This window comes from Homo sapiens, chromosome 1 (assembly GCF_000001405.40).
Source record: "Homo sapiens chromosome 1, GRCh38.p14 Primary Assembly".
Classification (NCBI taxonomy): Eukaryota; Metazoa; Chordata; class Mammalia; order Primates; family Hominidae; genus Homo; species Homo sapiens.
In genome coordinates, this window is record NC_000001.11 from 239,835,317 (window position 1) to 239,853,593 (window position 18,277).

Genomic DNA, 18,277 nt, shown 5'->3' on the forward strand with positions numbered 1-18,277 from the left:
TATTCCTTCCTTCAATGAGGACATTAAGCATGAATCTTTTATAGATTTTTGTAGTCCTTCCACAAGCAACTGATGAGTGCCCACTACGTTCTCTGCACAAGTGCAACGCAAATTGGGGAGGAAAAAGATTGTTTGGGCAATGCTGTCAAAGAGGTTTTTTTTTTCACTTAGAAAATAATTATTTATTTAACAACATTTCTTGACTTTCTTCTATGTGCAAAGACACGCTAAGAGATAGAGACTGATAAGGCTTGGTTTTCGACCGTCAAAGCCTTTAGAGTTTTAAACAATGGTTTTCAAATTTCAAGTCATGAAATCAACTTAGTGCGTTAGGAAGAACATTTGTATTTATTTCGAATAGTTTAGAATAGAAGACATCCGAGTACCTCCCATGGAGTGAGGTAGTATCACATGAAAATTATTTCTCCGTGTATGTGTGTGCACTGGGTCGCAAAGAAAAATGTATTTATTTCCATAGGACACAGTTAAAAATTTAGAAGCCTGCTGATTCAGAAGGATGAACGAACATGGACCTAAATTACTGCATTTCAGGTTTTAACAAATTGAATGGAAGTAGGCATGGGAGACTCAATGTCAAGCTAATAAGTGTCAAGGATCCAAATTGCCAACTTTGCATCATGTCCTTGCCGCTTCTTTTGAGACGATGGAGATACATTCGTAGAGAGGAAAAAGATCCATGCTATGTGTGTGCAGCACGGATGGCGTTCTGTGGGGATGCAGCTGGCTGCAGATTCCAGCCAATCACCTGGTGTGACCTCTTGTTTCAACTGAGGGGCATACTGCCTTCATACTGACAAAGATTAGTGACCAGTTCCCCAGCCAGCAGTCCACCAGTGAAAAACAGGAACATTTCAGAGAACAGCAGGAAATGCTAGTTGTTTTAGTCCTGTCTCCCACAGCTACTTCAAAAACAAAGTCTTATCCTCAGATCGAGAAAGGGTGTAGCTTGAGAGGAGGTGTGTTTTTCTCCATTCTGTTACATAATCAAGCATCCGAGCCTGTCACCATGTTTGCTGAATGGAGCCATATCAAATCATTTTCTGTTTTTGTTTTTTTTTAACAGGCAGAATATAAATGTATTTCAATTGATAAAAATATAAGAAACTCTGTGATTATGTTATTTCAATTCCAGTATTTTTCTTGGTTGTGGAGCTGCAGCAGGAGCCCTCCTGTCCTTTAATAACACTATGCTCTGCTAGAAATGCGGAAGCCAAGTTCATTCTACCATCCCCGTACAAAAACCTTGAACCTCCTTTTCACCTGAGAGCAGACCCTCTTAGGACTCCTAGACCACTATCAATGTGTGCAGTAATCAGTAACAAAAGGAAAGTTTTGTCACATATAAGATAGGTGGAGGGGGCCTGGCGTGGTGGCTCACGTCTGTAATCTCGGCACTTTGGGAGGCCGAGGCTGATGGATCACAAGATCAAGAGATCGAGACCATCTGGACAACATGGTGAAACCTTGTCTCCACTAAAAATACAAAAATTAACTGGGCTTGATGGCACATGCCTGTAATCCCAGCTACTTGGGAGGCTGAGGCAGGAGAATCACTTGAACCCAGGAGGTGGAAGTTGCAGCGAGCCGAGATAGCACCACTGCACTCCAGCCTGGCAACAGAGCAAGACTCTGTCTTAAAAAAAAAAAAAAAAGATGGGTGAAGGGGAGAGGCAAGTATGAGGACTCTTTGGACCATACAGTGTCAGCATCCTTTCCTATGATCAGTAATGCATGATAAACAGGGTTGTAAGCAGAAAAAAATGCAACATTTTGGTTGTGTGCTCCATGGATCAGTCACAGGCTAGCTAAACCATGACAGAAATCTGTTGTTTCTCACGATGTGTGAGGCAGGGAGACCACGTCTTACTTTTCTTTCATTTCCATGCTTGCCCTTTGAAGAGTCTGTTTAGAGCCAATAAAGTGATACATCTGACACATCCTTAATGATAGATCAAGAGTGCCAGAGAAATATCCAAGCACCTAGAATCGCAAAATGAGAATGAAGCTGTAGAAATCATCGAATCCAACTTCTTGTCTCCAGATCTTTTTGTTCCTGACATTACCGATTACCTTTCAGCTAGGAAGGACTCTGAAGCAGGGATCAGGTACAAGTCCTCACCTCTTCCCTCTCTCAACTCTGCTGTCCTTTGTAAGCTGCAAACCCTGACAGACATTTTGCAACCCATCAATTCCAGAAACTTAATCATTACAATATGTTATATATGTTTTAAGTTAGACTCTACAGAACTTAAGGTGAAGCACAGCAGTAAGCACAGCCTAATAGTAGTGAACTTGAATTCCAGCAAAATATCTTTGTGCTTAAGTACTTAACTACATAATTATAAATCATTATGAGACATTTCTCCTTCAGAATTTTATATATGGCTGACTTTACCTGTTTATCTCCAATCACCAATCTCCTGAAGAGAGTTAGAGTTTGATATTCTCCTATCTTAACCACTGAGTATAGTTTCTCTCATCCATTCATTCTTTACCCATTCATTGAGTTTTTATTCGGTGCAGCATAGTAGGCCAAGCTGTACCTGCTATGAAGCTGAAACAGCTAGAGTTCTACCCTCAAAAGTTTACATTGTAGTTAGGAAGATAAATCATGTGCATAGATAACAATACTAAAAGGCAAAAATAGTAAAATAAAAACACTTTATGGAATTTTAACGAAGAGAGAGAGTACTTCAAAATATAAGGCTCAGAGAAAGATCGTGAGGGAAATTATATATGAATTGAATCTTAAAGGCCAGGACATGTAAAAATGGGAGATAACATTCTAAGTGGTGGATAAATAGTGCCAGAAGAAATTCCAGGGACTATATGATTAATGGGAAGCAGTTTATTTGGACTGAAGAAAGGGGTCTATCAGTGAAAATATGGGATGTAAGTTGGAATAGTAACTTTGAGTCACCCAATACCAGGCAACAGAGCTCCAACTTAATTGTAGATTATGGGACTCTATGGAAGGTGTTTGGGCAGAAAGGAGTGATTTGATCAGAGACAAATGTTTGTGGTTAAAGATGCCATCCTACACCACAAACACCATCTGTTTTCATGCAGTTTTGGACAACTCTACAATATATAGGTGTCTTGGTGGCTGTAATTGTCAAACAACACATGGCAAACACATTCCTTCTCTCATTCCTCCTCTTAGCATTTGTAAAATGCATTAAAATTGCCATGCCATATTTTGTGTGCAAATGATCTCATGTTCCTTACCACAAGCCTACAAAGTTTATCTTATTGTATAGGCAATGAGACCCATGCTCAAGAAGGTTAGGTGATTTGTGATCTGGTCACAAAGCTGGTTAGTGATAAAGTAGACTTGGCATCTTCTCCCTTCAGACCTGGGGAATTTCCCATGATATGGCAGGGTCCTCCGCACATAGTTCTCATTGTACTACCAACAAGTCCTGTAAAATGTTATGGACCCTTTGATGTGTAGAACATTAGAATAGGTAAGGAAGAGAAAGCTCTTACTGCAGAAATTTAAAGTGTTTCTCTGGGAAATTGATACTTCTGAAAAATACAGATAAATATGCTTTTATATACTCAGGGAAGAATCAAGAAAATTTAAAATGGATTAAGGATGATGTTAAACAAAGCATCATATCATCTAGAAAATTAAAGCATGGATGGGGATAGGTTTTCTATGAAGACAGGTAAAAAGAAGAGAGCATCATACTCATCCTCAAATACACAAAATCCAAAATACATATCTTCTTCCATTCGATTGGCCCTTCAGGGCCCTTTCAAAATACTTTTTCCTCCAAATGACTCCATAAGATAGACAAGGTAGATATTATTTTCCCTGTGGCAAATAAGAATATCAGGGCTAATGAATTTGCCCCAAATCATGCTAGGACTGAAACTTGGATAGGTCTTGTAGCTTGTAATTCAAAGCTACTTTCACTGCCTCTCGATCTATATCATCATTGAAGATAATTGAGATGATTCAATAGTGTGTTGTTACGGAGTGCATGCAGTTAGGACATAGAATTCACTCCAGTGGTTCTGCATACTGATCAACCACGTCTTTTAAGTTTTACTGGGACAGATCTCTGTTGGGCTTTTGGAATGCACTATGGGGTCTGTAAATGAAAGTATGGGATATAGGTAGGAATAGTAACTTCGAGTCATACAGTACCAGGCAAGAGAGCTTCAACTTAATTCTAGATTATGGGAATCCATGGAACATGTTTTGGCAGAAAAGAGTGATTGGGTCAGAGACAAATGTTTGTGGTTAAAGATTCCATGTCAGAATATGATGCTTAGGAGCAACAGTACCATTTATCTTCCTCGTGGTTTAAATGTTTTAAAATATTCAAGGTCAAGAGTCCACTTATTCATATTCCCCCTTTATACAGAAAGAAGAAAGGGGAGAGTGACATACAAAGAGACCAACCAGTACCATGAATGTCTGGGACATTTACTATTACATTCAGTGGCGGGGCGGGGGGGGAGCGGGGAAGGGAGAAGTACTTTTGCATAAAGCACTGAGAGCTGGAGTAGAAGTGAAGGAAAGAAAGGAAGAAAGGAAGGTAGACATAGGCTAGGCTCTTCTCCCAGCAGGCAAGAAAGAACACCATTGCCTGGTGCAGGCTGCATCCAGCCCAGGCCTCAGTTGTTGAGTTGTTAATACAATTTTTTATTAATTAATTATTTTTCATTTAAATGATAATGCACGCATACACTTTTACTCTAGAAACTGTAAATAACAAACATGGAACTGACATCTCTGTTGACCAGCACTCAATCTCACTCTTCCCCAGAGCTAACTGCATTTATCAATTTTGGATCTATCCATCCAGAAAGTTGTCTGTAAATTTACCTGTACATTATGTGTGCATTTAGAAACATATAAGTTTGCTTTGGTGGTGGACTTTTTTTTACATCTCATTAAATATATTAAGAAGTCAGTTACCTTGGGACACTGTGTAAATTAGAGCGTTAACCCCATTAACCTGATTTCTATGCCCCATAACTCATTTAAAAGCTCATCAGTGGCCTGCAGCACTCAAATACTTCACACGGCATTGATTTTGTATTCTTAATAATGCCCAAAGAAGCAATCTTGTTCTGCAATTCCAGTTTAACTCCTAATAAACTGATATTTGGAAGGAAGTGACAGATAATACACAAAAAAATTCAATTCTGTGAGCAAGAAAATGACCATTAGTGTCAAAATGCTGTCTACTGCCCTGGAGGAAAAAGCATAGGCAGCTGTAGTACACACCATTGATGGATGGCAGGATGTTCAATTTAGAACTGTTACTGAACAAAACTGGCCTTTATTCTGAGATAAAGAGAAAATGCTTTAAAGATCTCATTTTAAAAGCCAAATCAAATGAAATCTTTAGGGCAATAGATATCTCATTTTTTGCATTTATATATTCTTTCAATAACTTGAATATTGTCAGTTAACATAAGAAAAAGGGTTACCATGGTGTTTTCTCTCCAGAATTTCTAGGATGGCTTCAGTTTGTAGAATGGTATTCGGAAAATTGAGTACCGTCACTGTTTGTTCCATTTCTTTGTGATTAATATTCATTGCCAGCACTCTGGCATGTGAAGTGATTGTTCCTTGATTCATGGTGCACGTGTGGGCAGCAACAAACACTGAGGAAGTGTCATAATTTTAGGCCATTTACAAAGACCCAGCTACCAAAGCAGATTGCTCAGAGGCCATCCACCCACACTGTGTTCCATGGCACCCTGACTCTCTGCTGTAAAATTGACCTGAGGTGTCTTGTTTAGTAATGAGCAAAGATTAAGGGAGAACATGTTTTGTTGCTTTTCACTGGTCCATAAAAGTTGAGAATGACTTCAAATTTGATGGAGGCTTTGCACATTTAACTTGGATTTTTCTCTTGATATCAGTCTTTCCTTGAATAATAGCAATATGGTATGTGTTAGAGGAGGTGACAATTTGTTAGAAGTTTCAGAAGGCACTGTGAGCTAGTATGCTCTGGAGATGAATTTAAAAGGGATGTGGGATTTGGTGGGGCATGTTGAATTTTGGTAAAGCAGAATTACGTTCGTTACCAATGATCCAGTGGGATTGACTGTAGAGTTTCATTGTGTGCAGATTCGCAACTTTCAGCTGTCTCTAAGGAGGAAAAATAGAGAGTAAAACTCTATTACCTGTTGACTTGCTATTTTTCATTAAGCCCACAGACCCCAAATTGTTTTTCTGCCATGAAAAGAAGTCCCATATGGTTGCAAAACTGAAGGGCAATGGACTGGAATCCTAAATCCATTGACAGTTAAGGTAGAAATTGGGTTCCAAGATTTAGCTGGCCAAGGCCTCAGGAGCTGACTAGACTTACCTCATTTCCCACCTGGGGTCAGGAGTAATATGTGACTCTTGAAGAGCAGCTTTCAAGGCATTAGCATAACTTGTTTCTTCTTTTACTTTCCAATGGGAAGATGGCTCCAAATGATAGTTTCAAAAGTCCCAGGAAGTTGCCTCTATCTCTAGTGGCTGAAAACTGGAACTAAACAGGGTAGAATGAGGAAGTGACTTGGAGAGAAGTTGTGCAAAATTAAATTATATAATACAACTTTACATCTGGAAAGAAACTTAGAATTCATTCATTCCAAGAGGTTCTAGGCTGGTGTAGGGGGGACGCCTATATCAAAATCTCAGGCCTGAATAATTTGAAAATCTGCTCCGCATGATACTGAAATGGGCTGCTCCTTGTTTCATGAATGAGGTTCAGAGGTATTGAAAGATATATTTCTCATCATACAACTTATAACAAAACTAGAAATTGAATGCATGTCATCTATCAAGTCCTATGGTAATTTCATATCATGGAATTATAAAATTTCACTTTTAAATTCCATGTCCACATGTACTTCTTTTTTTTTTTTTTTTTGAGGGGGTTGGGGGGACAGAGTCCCGCTGTGTCACCCAGCCTGGAGTGCAGTGATGAGATCTCAGCTCACTGCTAACTCCACCTCTCGGACTCCGCCTCCCGGTTCAAGTGATTCTCCTGCCTCAGCCTCCTGAGTAGCTAGGATTATAGGTGCCCGCCATCATGCCTGGCTAATTTTTGTATTTTTAGTAGAGACGGGGTTTCACCATGATGGCCAGGTTAGTCTCGAACTCCTGACATCAGGTGATCCGCCTGCCTTGGCCTCCCAAAGTGTTGGGATTACAGGAGTGAGCCACCGTGCCCAGCAGCCCTTCTTTCTTAATGATGATGGATGGGGAGACCTAAAGTGGAAAAGAAAAGGAAGGACTGATAAACACATTAGAAGAGAACCATATACGCATCTATTTTGCCCCAAATTCTGATCACTTGATATATCAGGTATTCAAGTGTCATCATAAAATCTCCAAGTTAGAAGGATCATCTAGGTCACCCCAACATACACACACATGCATGCACGCACACACAGGTACACACATTTTAAACACAAAGGATAAAAGCAGATTTGAAAAAATGTTAAAATGATGTGACTGTATCTCAAGAACCTAGGCTTCCATTCCCATGGTCACCATCCGGGATTCAGATCTTCAGCATTCCTGTGCCTAGATCACCAGGGTCCTACATGGTATTTCTGCTTCCAGGACCCTGCCCCATTGTCTTGACCATTCTTCACATCATAGCCTAGAGCTTTGCTGTGATCATCTTGCTCTTCTCTCCTATAAACTTCAGTGGATCAGATCCCACCACACACTTAATAAGGACAAAGCCCCTTATGTGGCTTTCTTGTCCCAACTTGCCTTTATTGCCTTTTAGGGCTTTTTACTCTTTACTATCCAGGTAATATAAATTTACTTCGCTCAAACAAGGGCCATCCTTTGGTGACTTAGTGGCTTTGCTTGTATTAATCCTCCTGCCTATATACTCATTATCACACTCCTCACCTTCATTTACCAAACATCTGCCCATTCTTCAAATCCTAGCACAAGTGTAGAATGTGGTATTCACCTCCTCTAATCATTTTTAACAGTGCTTTTGTAGCTCCCAGGGACCCATGCTGGCCTATGTTATGATTATTTATATAATTATTTCTGGATTTTTAACCTAATCTCTTAGATTATAAACTCAGTTGCATTCTCTCTCTCTTTTTATCTCACTCGCTTTCCTTTTTTTTTTTTTTTTTTTTTTTGGCATTCCTCTTAGGACTTATCATTTGCTTTAATATAGCAGATTAGCTGGAGGCATGGTTCAGCAAATGGTCTCATGTAGGCAGAGGAAGAAATCTAGCAAAATATTTAGTTAACAACAAAAGAGAAAGTGTGTTCTATTCTAAAATTTTCATTACTCTAATAGAAAATGAAGGATTGAGATGACACTTCCACGTTACCAGCTAAAAAAGACTTTAATTGCTGACATAGAAGTAGCATGTTCTTCCCCCCAGAAAGAGGAAGAAGCAGGTAAAATTTTAAAAGGCAGGAGCTAAAATTGCTAGTTTTAGTTTCTCTTTCAATAGATCCTGGACAGGTAATTTCTATTTAGAGGAGATTGTTTGCCAAGTATTCTCTGAAACTGTGTATATGTGTGTATGTGTGTGTGTATATATATATACACATAGAGATATATACTCTATATAATTAGATACATACATACGTGTCTATATATAGACACACATACACATATGCATACACACACGTTATATATACAGTTTGTTTTGTTTTGAAATATGTATACATTGTGAAATGGCTAAATCAAGCTGATTAGCATATGCATTACCTCACTTATTATTTCTTTGTGATAAGAACACTTAAAATTTTCTCTCTTAGCAATTTTCAAGCACACACTAAATTGTTATTCAACATAGTCACCATGCTTCCTATAGTTCTCTTGAACGTATTCCTCCTAACAGAAATTTTGTATCCTTTGATCAACATCTCCCCACCTTCACCCCACCACCCACCATATATGTCTGTTTAGACTGAGGCTTGGGAGGTATAAATGGGAGGTTCTATATGTGAATGTAAAAAATCAAGGTTTAGGGATTTGATATTTTTGGTGAACTCAATATGAGTCATTAATGCAATGCGCTTATTTGTTACAGAAGATGTGATTCCAAACTACAAGGAAAGAAATACAGTATCTAGAATAAAGGAGGTGATAGCACACCCCATCTCCACATGGATCAAACTATACCTGTTCACTCAGAGGCTACATTTAAGAATAAATTTGGTGGATTAGGCCCTAAGAAGTAGCACTGGGACCAATAGATGACATTTTAACTCAAATTCAGGAAGAATTTCCCGAGCGTTAGAGCTATATGCTGGTAAAATGGGTGGCCGTTGCTAATCTTTACCTAGGGTTTATGATAGAACAAACTATGATTTGTTGTTATTCTATTTAATAAACATTTCTTCCAATAAGTAGACTATTATTATCAAGACAGCTTTATGGATAGGGATACTGAGATGCAGAAAGACTAAGTATCTTACCCTGAATTATTGGTGAGTAAGTGGCATAGCAGTTAGTCACCCCTTATGCACCTGGCTTTAAAGCCCAGGCTCCCAACCCAAACACTGATATTCATTTTGATAACTGTGGACAGAAGAAGTAGAGGGGTGGAGGAGAAGACGGCCAGAACTTTGTACATGGAATGCAGTGTGAACTAAGGAAAGAGGGCTTATAAAAAGATGTCTTAATTTTTTTTCCAACTGCCAGATGGAAGCAGTATTTCATCTGCCTTGACAGGACTAGTCTATTTTCAAGATGGCAGAGGTCACAGATGGGCTGAATGGCATATTTGCAGATAAGAGATTGTAATCAAATCACAGTAAATTTTCCATTACACTCTACTTAGTAACAATGTAAAAAAGTTACACAATGCATATGAAAGAGCCAGTTAACAAGGAGAAACTAGAAAACTGAGGAAATGCTTCCTTTCTGAGGTGTTCAGGGACTTTATATAAATAAGAGGTAGCAAAACAGCAGCTCATGAGCCAAATTAGGATCTCAACTCACTGACATTGTTTTGTTTTCATTTGATTTTTACTCTGCTAGGTTTTTATTTTTGTTTTGGTTTGGGTTTGGGTTTGGGTTTTTTGATAATTACTTGTCAATATTTTTAAATGAAGATATTTACAAGTTTTTCTTGAAAAGTCCAACCTAGTCCTGCTGGGCCTGAATCCACAGGTTGAAAGTCTTGTGTCTCCAGAAGGCTCCACCATGCCCAGTTCTCTTAGATATTGCTTATACATGTCAGCATTGCTGTGGCGTGTCACCCGCCCAGCTCTCATGTAGTTCCGTGAGCTTGGACCCACCATTTGTGCCAGCTTTGAGAATATTTGTTTATGCTTACTTGAGTTCCTGAAATGAAAAAGTCATAATTTTATTTCTGAAAACATTTCTTAAAGAGACATTTGAAACAACTTAGTAAATCTAAAGAACAACAAAACAACTAACAGATTAGGTCTTGCATACCGAATTACAGCCTCTGGCCTGTTTTCATGGCTTCACCATTAATGTTTATGTATCATGGCCAGCCATTCACTTTCAGATGAGTTCTTGCTTACTCTTTTTAACTACACATTATTTTTGTTTTTCCAAAGTATCACTCTTAAGAATTGCCTTTATAGAATTAGACCTGAAGTTAGTATTGATTTTATAAAATAAAAGTTTGGTATAGAGTAATTTGTCAATAGAAGGATAGGTGGGAAAATTTGTTAAGTGCGCACTAACAAAGCTTCAACTGTTGAAGAAGAAAATGTATCTCCATAGGCTTATCTCAGGTCAGTGATTTTTAAGTGAAACTTACAACTTTTTTTTTTTTCTAAAAAGCTATGATTTAATAGACATTTTCTGGGCCAGGGCTTTTGTGGATACCATAAATTTGTGCTTTGTTTCCGTGTGAATTTTCTTTCCGACATAGATGGTAGCATCAATGTCATTTTTAAAGTAACTTCCAGAAAACGCTTTCTCTTGAAAGGCCTATAACAAAAATTACATTCTTGGGACTACTATAGTTACTGGCTGTTTGAGACTTGAACATATATCTAGTCATAAAGGGAAAATTATTACTCCTAGTAGGCATCTACTAATTTGTTGTTACAAGTTTGAAAAAATCCAACAGACTTTATCGAAATTCAATCAAACTAATTGCCTCAATATCACAGAAAGGATTCTCGGTCTAATGCACCAATGGATAAGCCAATAAAAAATACAGTAGTACTTCCACCTTTGCCAGGTTATGAGAAAAAACTGAGACATTTCCCCAACAGCAAAGGAGCAAATGGCAGAGTGATATGGAGAATTCATGGTAAATGCTAATTCAGAGGAACAGCCAATATAAATCAGCGTTTCCCGAAGTGAATTGTGAGGAAGGAATACCCAAGGATATTAAGAAATGTTATACCCACAATTTTTTTAAACCTGTGATCATGTAAGTTTGGGAAACAGTGACTCAATGAAACCAAACATTTTCCTTTGCTACAGTACTTCTGTGAGTTTTTATTACGTTACTATGTGACTATAAATGGTGAATTCCCAGGAAAGATAAGCGGCATAGAGTAATGCTTAAAAGAAGTCCAGTTTTGATAGAACATCTTGTAAGATGAGTACTCTATATAAATGATCTTATTTATTGATTAGGATTAAATTCAGTTGCAGGAGACAGAATACTAAGCTTCAGTAATAGGGATTTCTCTCTCTTACACGTAAAAAGGTTTAGAAGCAGGCTAAGCTGATATGCCATCTCCATGTAAGGACCCAAAGCTCCTTCTGGTGTTCTACTCTGTCCACCATAGAATTTGATCCACATTGTTATCATCTAATATGGCTGCTGGAGCTCCACCCATCACATCTGTATTCCAAAAATAAGACGAAAGTGAGGGTGTTGTGTCACTTTTCTTTTAAAGGAGACTTTCCAGAAGTAGATTCAACACTTCCTTTTATTTCTCATTCCTGACTGCCAGAAAGATAGGAAATGCTACCTTTCCACTACGTGGTTACGTGCACAGCTGAAAATAGAGGATCTGTTTATTTCAGAGAGAAAGGGAGAATGGATATTTTATAGGCCATAAGAATCTATGCCATATCTTAGAAATCACTAAAATAGATCTTCAAAATAATACATAAACATTTATATTTGATGTCGATACATTTAATTATTATTTACAATGGCCTTAGTTTGTTTTTTTCTAGTATTAATTTCTTAAAGCCATAATTTAAAAAAGGCGGAAGGGATAGGATGTAAGGTTGAACCACATGGGAAAAATAAGTCAGGGAAAAATAAGTCAAGGAAAAATAACCACCAGGTGCAGAGGCTCACACCTGTACTCCCAGCACTTTGGGACGCCAAAGTGGGTGGGAGGATCACTTGATCCCATGAGTTCCAGGCCAGCCTGGGCAACATAGTGAGACCTCATCTCTACACACACACATACATATACACACACACACATATACACACACACAGACACAAACACATACAAAAACTAGCCAGGTGTTGGTGGTGCATGCCTGTAGTCCCAGCTACTCTAGAGGCTGAGGTGAGAGGATTGCTTGAGCCCGGGATGTTGAGGCTGCAGTGAGCTGTGATCTCACCACTGCACTCCAGCCTCGGCAACAGAGCAAGAACCTGTCTCAAAAAGAAAAAAGAAAAGAGAAGAGAAGAGAGGAGGGGAGGGGAGGGGAGGGGAGAGAAAAGAATAACTGTGTGGATTCATGGTAGCAAGAAGCTGATCCATTGAAGTATGTGAGACAAAACCACCATTTAACACAGTCTTCATCTCCATATTAAAAATACCCTTTTAAGGCTTTCATGCATACATTTGCCTAATTATAATAGATATATCCATTCATCCATGGCTAAGGAGACATTGTCCAAATTCAGAGAATTTTCATACCATTCAATAATAAAATTAGCTCTGACTCAGCTAAGGAGAAAATCACTACCCAAATGCTTTACAAAATGAGAGGGAGGAGTTGTGAGAAAATTTTTATGCCATTCAAAATTATTCTGGAAATGTGTTGACCTCAAAATTATCTCCTATTTGGCTCAGTCTTTTGTTCTGATAGGTTCTAACCCACAACAAATTACAATATACTTTACTTATTGATACTTTCCAAACATCCAGTTAGGAAAACTGCAGTTGATTTTATATGATTTTAATGATCCCCAAAAATTTTTAGAAAACTGTTACAATTCACCGACTGCTTAGTATTGTGAAGTGATCTATATATGTTGTATATATATATACATTTATATCACTTTATCCTCATATTTTATCCCCATTTTTCAAATGGAAATTGAGGCACAGACAGGTTAAATAACTTGCTTGATGTTCACACCTAGGAAGCAGCAGGTACATGCTTTTCTTAGTTTCTGCATCCCTATGGTGTATTTCTCTAATATGAAAAGAGACTGTTCATTTATTCAGAAGTCTTTATACCTATTTGAACTCATTTCTGGAAGAGACTTTCAATATTATCTGTTCATGTATGACAAAACACAGGATGTCATATTTATTATCAAGAATAGATAAAATGCAACTTGACTCATTAAACTAACTATGGTATAAACGTGTCATGGTGTTTCCACAGCACATACATGAATACAGTTTTGAACATTCTTGGTCCTATAGGATTAAAAAATAATTTGATCATCTACAAATAATTCCAGCAAACTATAGCTACAGTATAGAGTTTAAATAGATATTACTGAATTTCACCTTGCAATCTTTGAGTGTTAGTCCTTATGGATTTTTAACAATTTATGGAACTTTCAACAATTTTAAGAAAAGAGATTGAATGCTAGTTTCAGCTGATTATATAAAAAAGTGATGATGGATAAATGGTCTTTTAAAAATCAACATCTGTTCCCTATGTATACTCTAGTTATATTTGCTTAGTTTACAATTCAGGCAAAATCTGGGCTGTTTTTAGCAAAGCCAACACATCAATGGAGGAAGACACTGAATACCATTCTGATTTTGCATATTTACTTCACTGTCCCAGTAGTCTCTATTACTGGTGATGATTCAAGTATCATTGTAGCACTGAGATAAGACCAACAGCCACATTCTTTCATCTACAGACGTTTCCCATTATAGGTGCAGCACACGCCTGGACTTGAGTCCTAAAACAAACTTCAAATACTGTCTGCATATAAAGGTTGTTGACTTCATCTCTTTGAATACTAGAAACATTGTCAGGAGACACAAGACAATAACATTCAGATGATACATAAAATATAATAAAAATATAACATTTGTATCAAAAGACACAAACGTGTTTTGCTGCAAAAGACAAAAAGAACCTATCAAATATTTTGACACTTTTCTCATAGTCTAAGCTAGTAGCAAAAGGTACAAGTTTTTGAAGCAGGGTGATCTTGATTTGACCATAGACGCTCCTTTGCTAGCTGTGTGACGTTAGGCAAATTGCTTCACCTCTTATTCCCTCAGTTTCCGGGCCTTTAAAATGAGATAATAATGGTACCTGCCTCATAAGGTATTTGCAAAAATTAAGACAGAATGCTTTTAGCAAGTGCCTAATAAGTGTTAACTATTTAACTAGTTAACTGTAAATGTGAACTATTCTTGTTACTATTAGTAACAGATAAAACGGGTATCCTCACCTGGCAAACCCAGGTTGTCTTATTGAAAGGTATCTGCTCCCTTTGTTATACATGGAACATCCTTTTAATTTAAATATGTTTAAATTCCTGGGAAAATAAATATACAGCTGACCCTTGAGCAACATAAGGATTAGGAGCACTGATCCTCTTCACAGTCAAAAATCTGCATATAACTGCCAGTAGTTTACTGTTGACAGGAAGCCTACCAGTAACATAAACAATGGATTGACACATATTTTGTTTGTTATATTAACACATATTTTGTTATATGTATTATATACTGTATTCTTACAACAAAGTAAGCTAGAAAAAATAAAATGTTATTAAGAAAACCATTAAGAAGAGAAAATATGTTTACTATTTATTAAGTGGAAGTGAATTATCATAAAGATCTTCATCCTCATTGTTTTCACACTGAGTGGCTGAAGAGGAGAAGGAAGAGAGGTGGGGCTGATCCTGCTGTCTCAGGGATAACAGAGGTGTCTGTGGAGGAGGTGGAAGTGGAGGCAGGAGAGGCAGGCACACTCGGTGTAATTTTCATTGAAAGAAATCTACATATAGACCCAGGCAGTCAAACCCGTGTCATTCAAAGGTCAACTGTATGCTCTTTTCAAAAATGTCATCTCATTTGTTAAGAAATCTGTTATCACCAGTCATCTATGAAGAGTAGTGATATAATCTGGCTCTGTCTCCCCACCCAAATCTCATCTTGAATCGTAATCCCCACGTGTTTCGGGAGGGACCTCCTGGGAGGTAGTTAGATCATGGGAGTGGGTCCCCTCATGCTGTTCTCATGACAGTGAGTGAGTTCTCGTGTGATCTGATGGTTTTATAAGGGGATCATCCCCCTTTTGCTTGGCACTTCTCCTTGCTGCTGCCATGTGAAGAAGGACGTGTTTTCTTCTTCCGCCATGACTGTAAGTTTCCTGAGGCCTTCCCAGCCATACAGAACTGTGAATCAATTAAACCTCTTTCCTTTATAAGTTACCCAGTCTTGGGTATGTCTTTATTCACAGCATGAGGAAAACTAATACAAGTAGGTTTCCAATTATGGGATATCAGACATCCCTGACACAGGTACCATTTTTATATCTGCTGTGAACCCCAAGATTCAGGCCCAAAGGACAGTGAAGCTACAGAAAAAATGAGAAAATCAGAGCTAACCTAGCTTAGGAAAAATAATACTGATGAGGAAAACTCACTTTGACTACTTTCCAGTGAGGCAGAGAAAATGAGTTGCAAAAATGAAAAATTATGCTTCATTTTGAAGTCAGGGTAATGTAGCAGATTTAATCATTGGTCTCAGAAATTAAAGAAAATCTGAAGAAAGCAATCTGGTGTTTTTTAAATTCTTCTTTAAAAAACAATTAGTTATTTGAACTAGAATTTCCATCACTCTGAAAGATCCTAAAAGTTATAAGAAAAGATAATTTCTTTTTATTCAGGGAGAACCATGTGTCTTTGCTATGTTATTGCAAATATAAGTAAAGCATTTTATTTTATCTTCCAATATTATTTGGCAGGAGCAGGCAAAACCCTAAAAAGAGGGACTTCAGCCCAGTGTTTATCACCCTCACTTTGAGAAGAAGCTGTTGCATATAATGCAATTGTCTGACAAATGAAATTGAGGTCTTTAAGGATCCCAAATTTGACCACATTTGATTAAAAATCTTCCTGAAATGTATTAAACACCCACAGCCCTTTTCAAATGGGAAATAAATAGCAACATCTGACACCTTCTTGGGGACCCAGAATCATTGTAATATACTTATGGAAGCAGCATGTGCTGTTCTCAGCAGTGGCCTAGAACTTAGTTTATAGAAAGTGTTGCAGCCATCTGCTTGCCTATTTGACTATTTGCTTCTTTTCCATAAAGCTAGCATTAAAAAGGTATAGTTTTCTTACCTTTAGAGATGACACTTTATAAAAAAGCAGTTTCTAAATGAAAGGCTTTCCTATCATCTCGTAGAACTGGGCTTCTCAAAGCTGCCAGCATCATCGCCCAGGAGCTTATTAGAGGTGAAGACTCTCAAGTCCCAACCCTGGCCCACTGAGTCAGTCTGTTATTTTAACAAAATTCCTGGGTGATTTGTGGGCATCGTGATGTTTGAGAAGTGCTGATCATCTTCTTCATTATCATCCTTACTGTCCTTTAACTTATCAGCAGAAACATGAGACAGCAGGTCCAATTCAACTCCAATAAACTCTCTTCTATTTGTATTTACACTGAATTTGTTGAAGGGGTGTAAAGGTAATGTTTCCCTGGTCAATTCCAGAAATCCTGGAAAATATTTTGGGAAAGGATTTAAAAGAAAAATGAAAAATCTATGTTTGTTTCATAAGGTAGAAAAAGAAACAGTCTGACAAATTTGAAAAAGCAGTGTATTAGGCACTGCCTGTAACTACAATGTGAGCTTGGTCTAGTCATTGTAACTTTAAGCTGTGTGCCCCTCTGGAAACCTTTAAAGTTCCTTTCAATATAATGGTCATGATGACGATGACATGCTTGTGCATGTGTAATAATCAGGCATTTTATCCAAGTCCTCATTTATATTCTTTGAACCAAATTTCAGATACAAGCAATACAATGCCCTCCCAGAGAGGGGGATTTTCATTTGTAACAAAGACTATAAAGTCATAGTAGCCAAGACTAGAATTCGGGGCTCTTGACTCAATGTTCAGACCCATAATGCTAATAAATTCTTCAGGAAATAATGTGTGAGTGAAAAATGTGCTCATACAGTCTTGGATTATGAACAGCCAACCTAAATCTTTCCAGTTGCCCATATTTTAACGTTAGTCTTCAGACACCCTAGAATTATTCAGCACATAGTGCTGACGTAGTTCATGGCACATGGCACATAGGTCATGACAAAATATTTTCATGAGATTAATTTTAAATGAAAGAAGTTTACACTTAATAGTATTATTATGGGAAATTCATCTGTCATTGTGAACATTCTAATTTATGTATTGACAGGTGTTACATGGTAACTTTTGTTTACGTCTTTGTTTTCTCTAAATCTCTCTTATAAAAAGTTAATACATTCTGTCATGAAAGTTTGGACTATTATACTTGGCGTTTGTTTTTCTGTGTTCAAATGAATTTATTTTACCCTTATGGGTTTTTTCTTTCTATTCCTTAAGGTTTTCATCGTTGTTCTTTTTCAACTTTTTAAATTTAATGATGTTTATTTTCTTTCTTTCTCTTAGTAGAGGGAAACTATCACTAAAAATTAACCTCTCAATAAAGTGTTGGTCTTATCCTATGAGATTTTATTTATAAATATATATTTTATTTCAGTATTCTCCCCATGACCAAATGAATATTTGGAGAAGTAGTTTTTAAATATGTGAAGAGTTAGAATTTCGAGTTTTATTAGAGTAAACTTAATGTCAAATTCTGTTGTAAATGTATTTTTTAAAATCTGAACTCTGCCCAATTTTGTAAAGTAAATCCAACATCTTGAAATAGTCTTGTTTTTTTCTTTTCTTTTTTTCAATGCCAACAGTTGTCAGTGATTTGGAAAATGCAATTTCTAGCCAAGCATAGTACCAGTTTTTTTGTTGCTAAATGAAAATATTATTTTTTCTTATACATTTAATAAAACTCTCTAAGTTCCAATATTATAAGACATTGCCTTTTTAAGTAGAATTTAACTGTTTTTGAATTTAAAAGAAGAAA

The 18,277-nt window shown here is 37.3% G+C and overlaps 1 protein-coding gene and 1 long non-coding RNA gene across 35 annotated transcripts in view; one reads left to right on the plus strand and one right to left on the minus strand.

Annotated features, from left to right (window-relative positions):
* The window catches only part of CHRM3 (cholinergic receptor muscarinic 3), a 528,883-nt gene that overhangs the window by 448,749 nt on the left and 61,857 nt on the right, over positions 1–18,277 (plus strand). The gene's annotated exons all lie outside the window — the stretch shown is intronic.
* On the minus strand, positions 4,658–7,157 carry LOC124904567 (uncharacterized). 2 transcript variants are annotated; one of them, XR_007066971.1, is made up of 3 exons: positions 7,118–7,157; positions 6,360–6,527; positions 4,658–6,139 (listed from the first exon to the last, which is right to left on the minus strand). It is a non-coding gene; the product is annotated as an uncharacterized LOC124904567 (long non-coding RNA). The 2 variants fall into 2 exon arrangements; XR_007066970.1 differs by lacking the exon at positions 7,118–7,157 and having other exon boundaries at positions 6,360–6,775.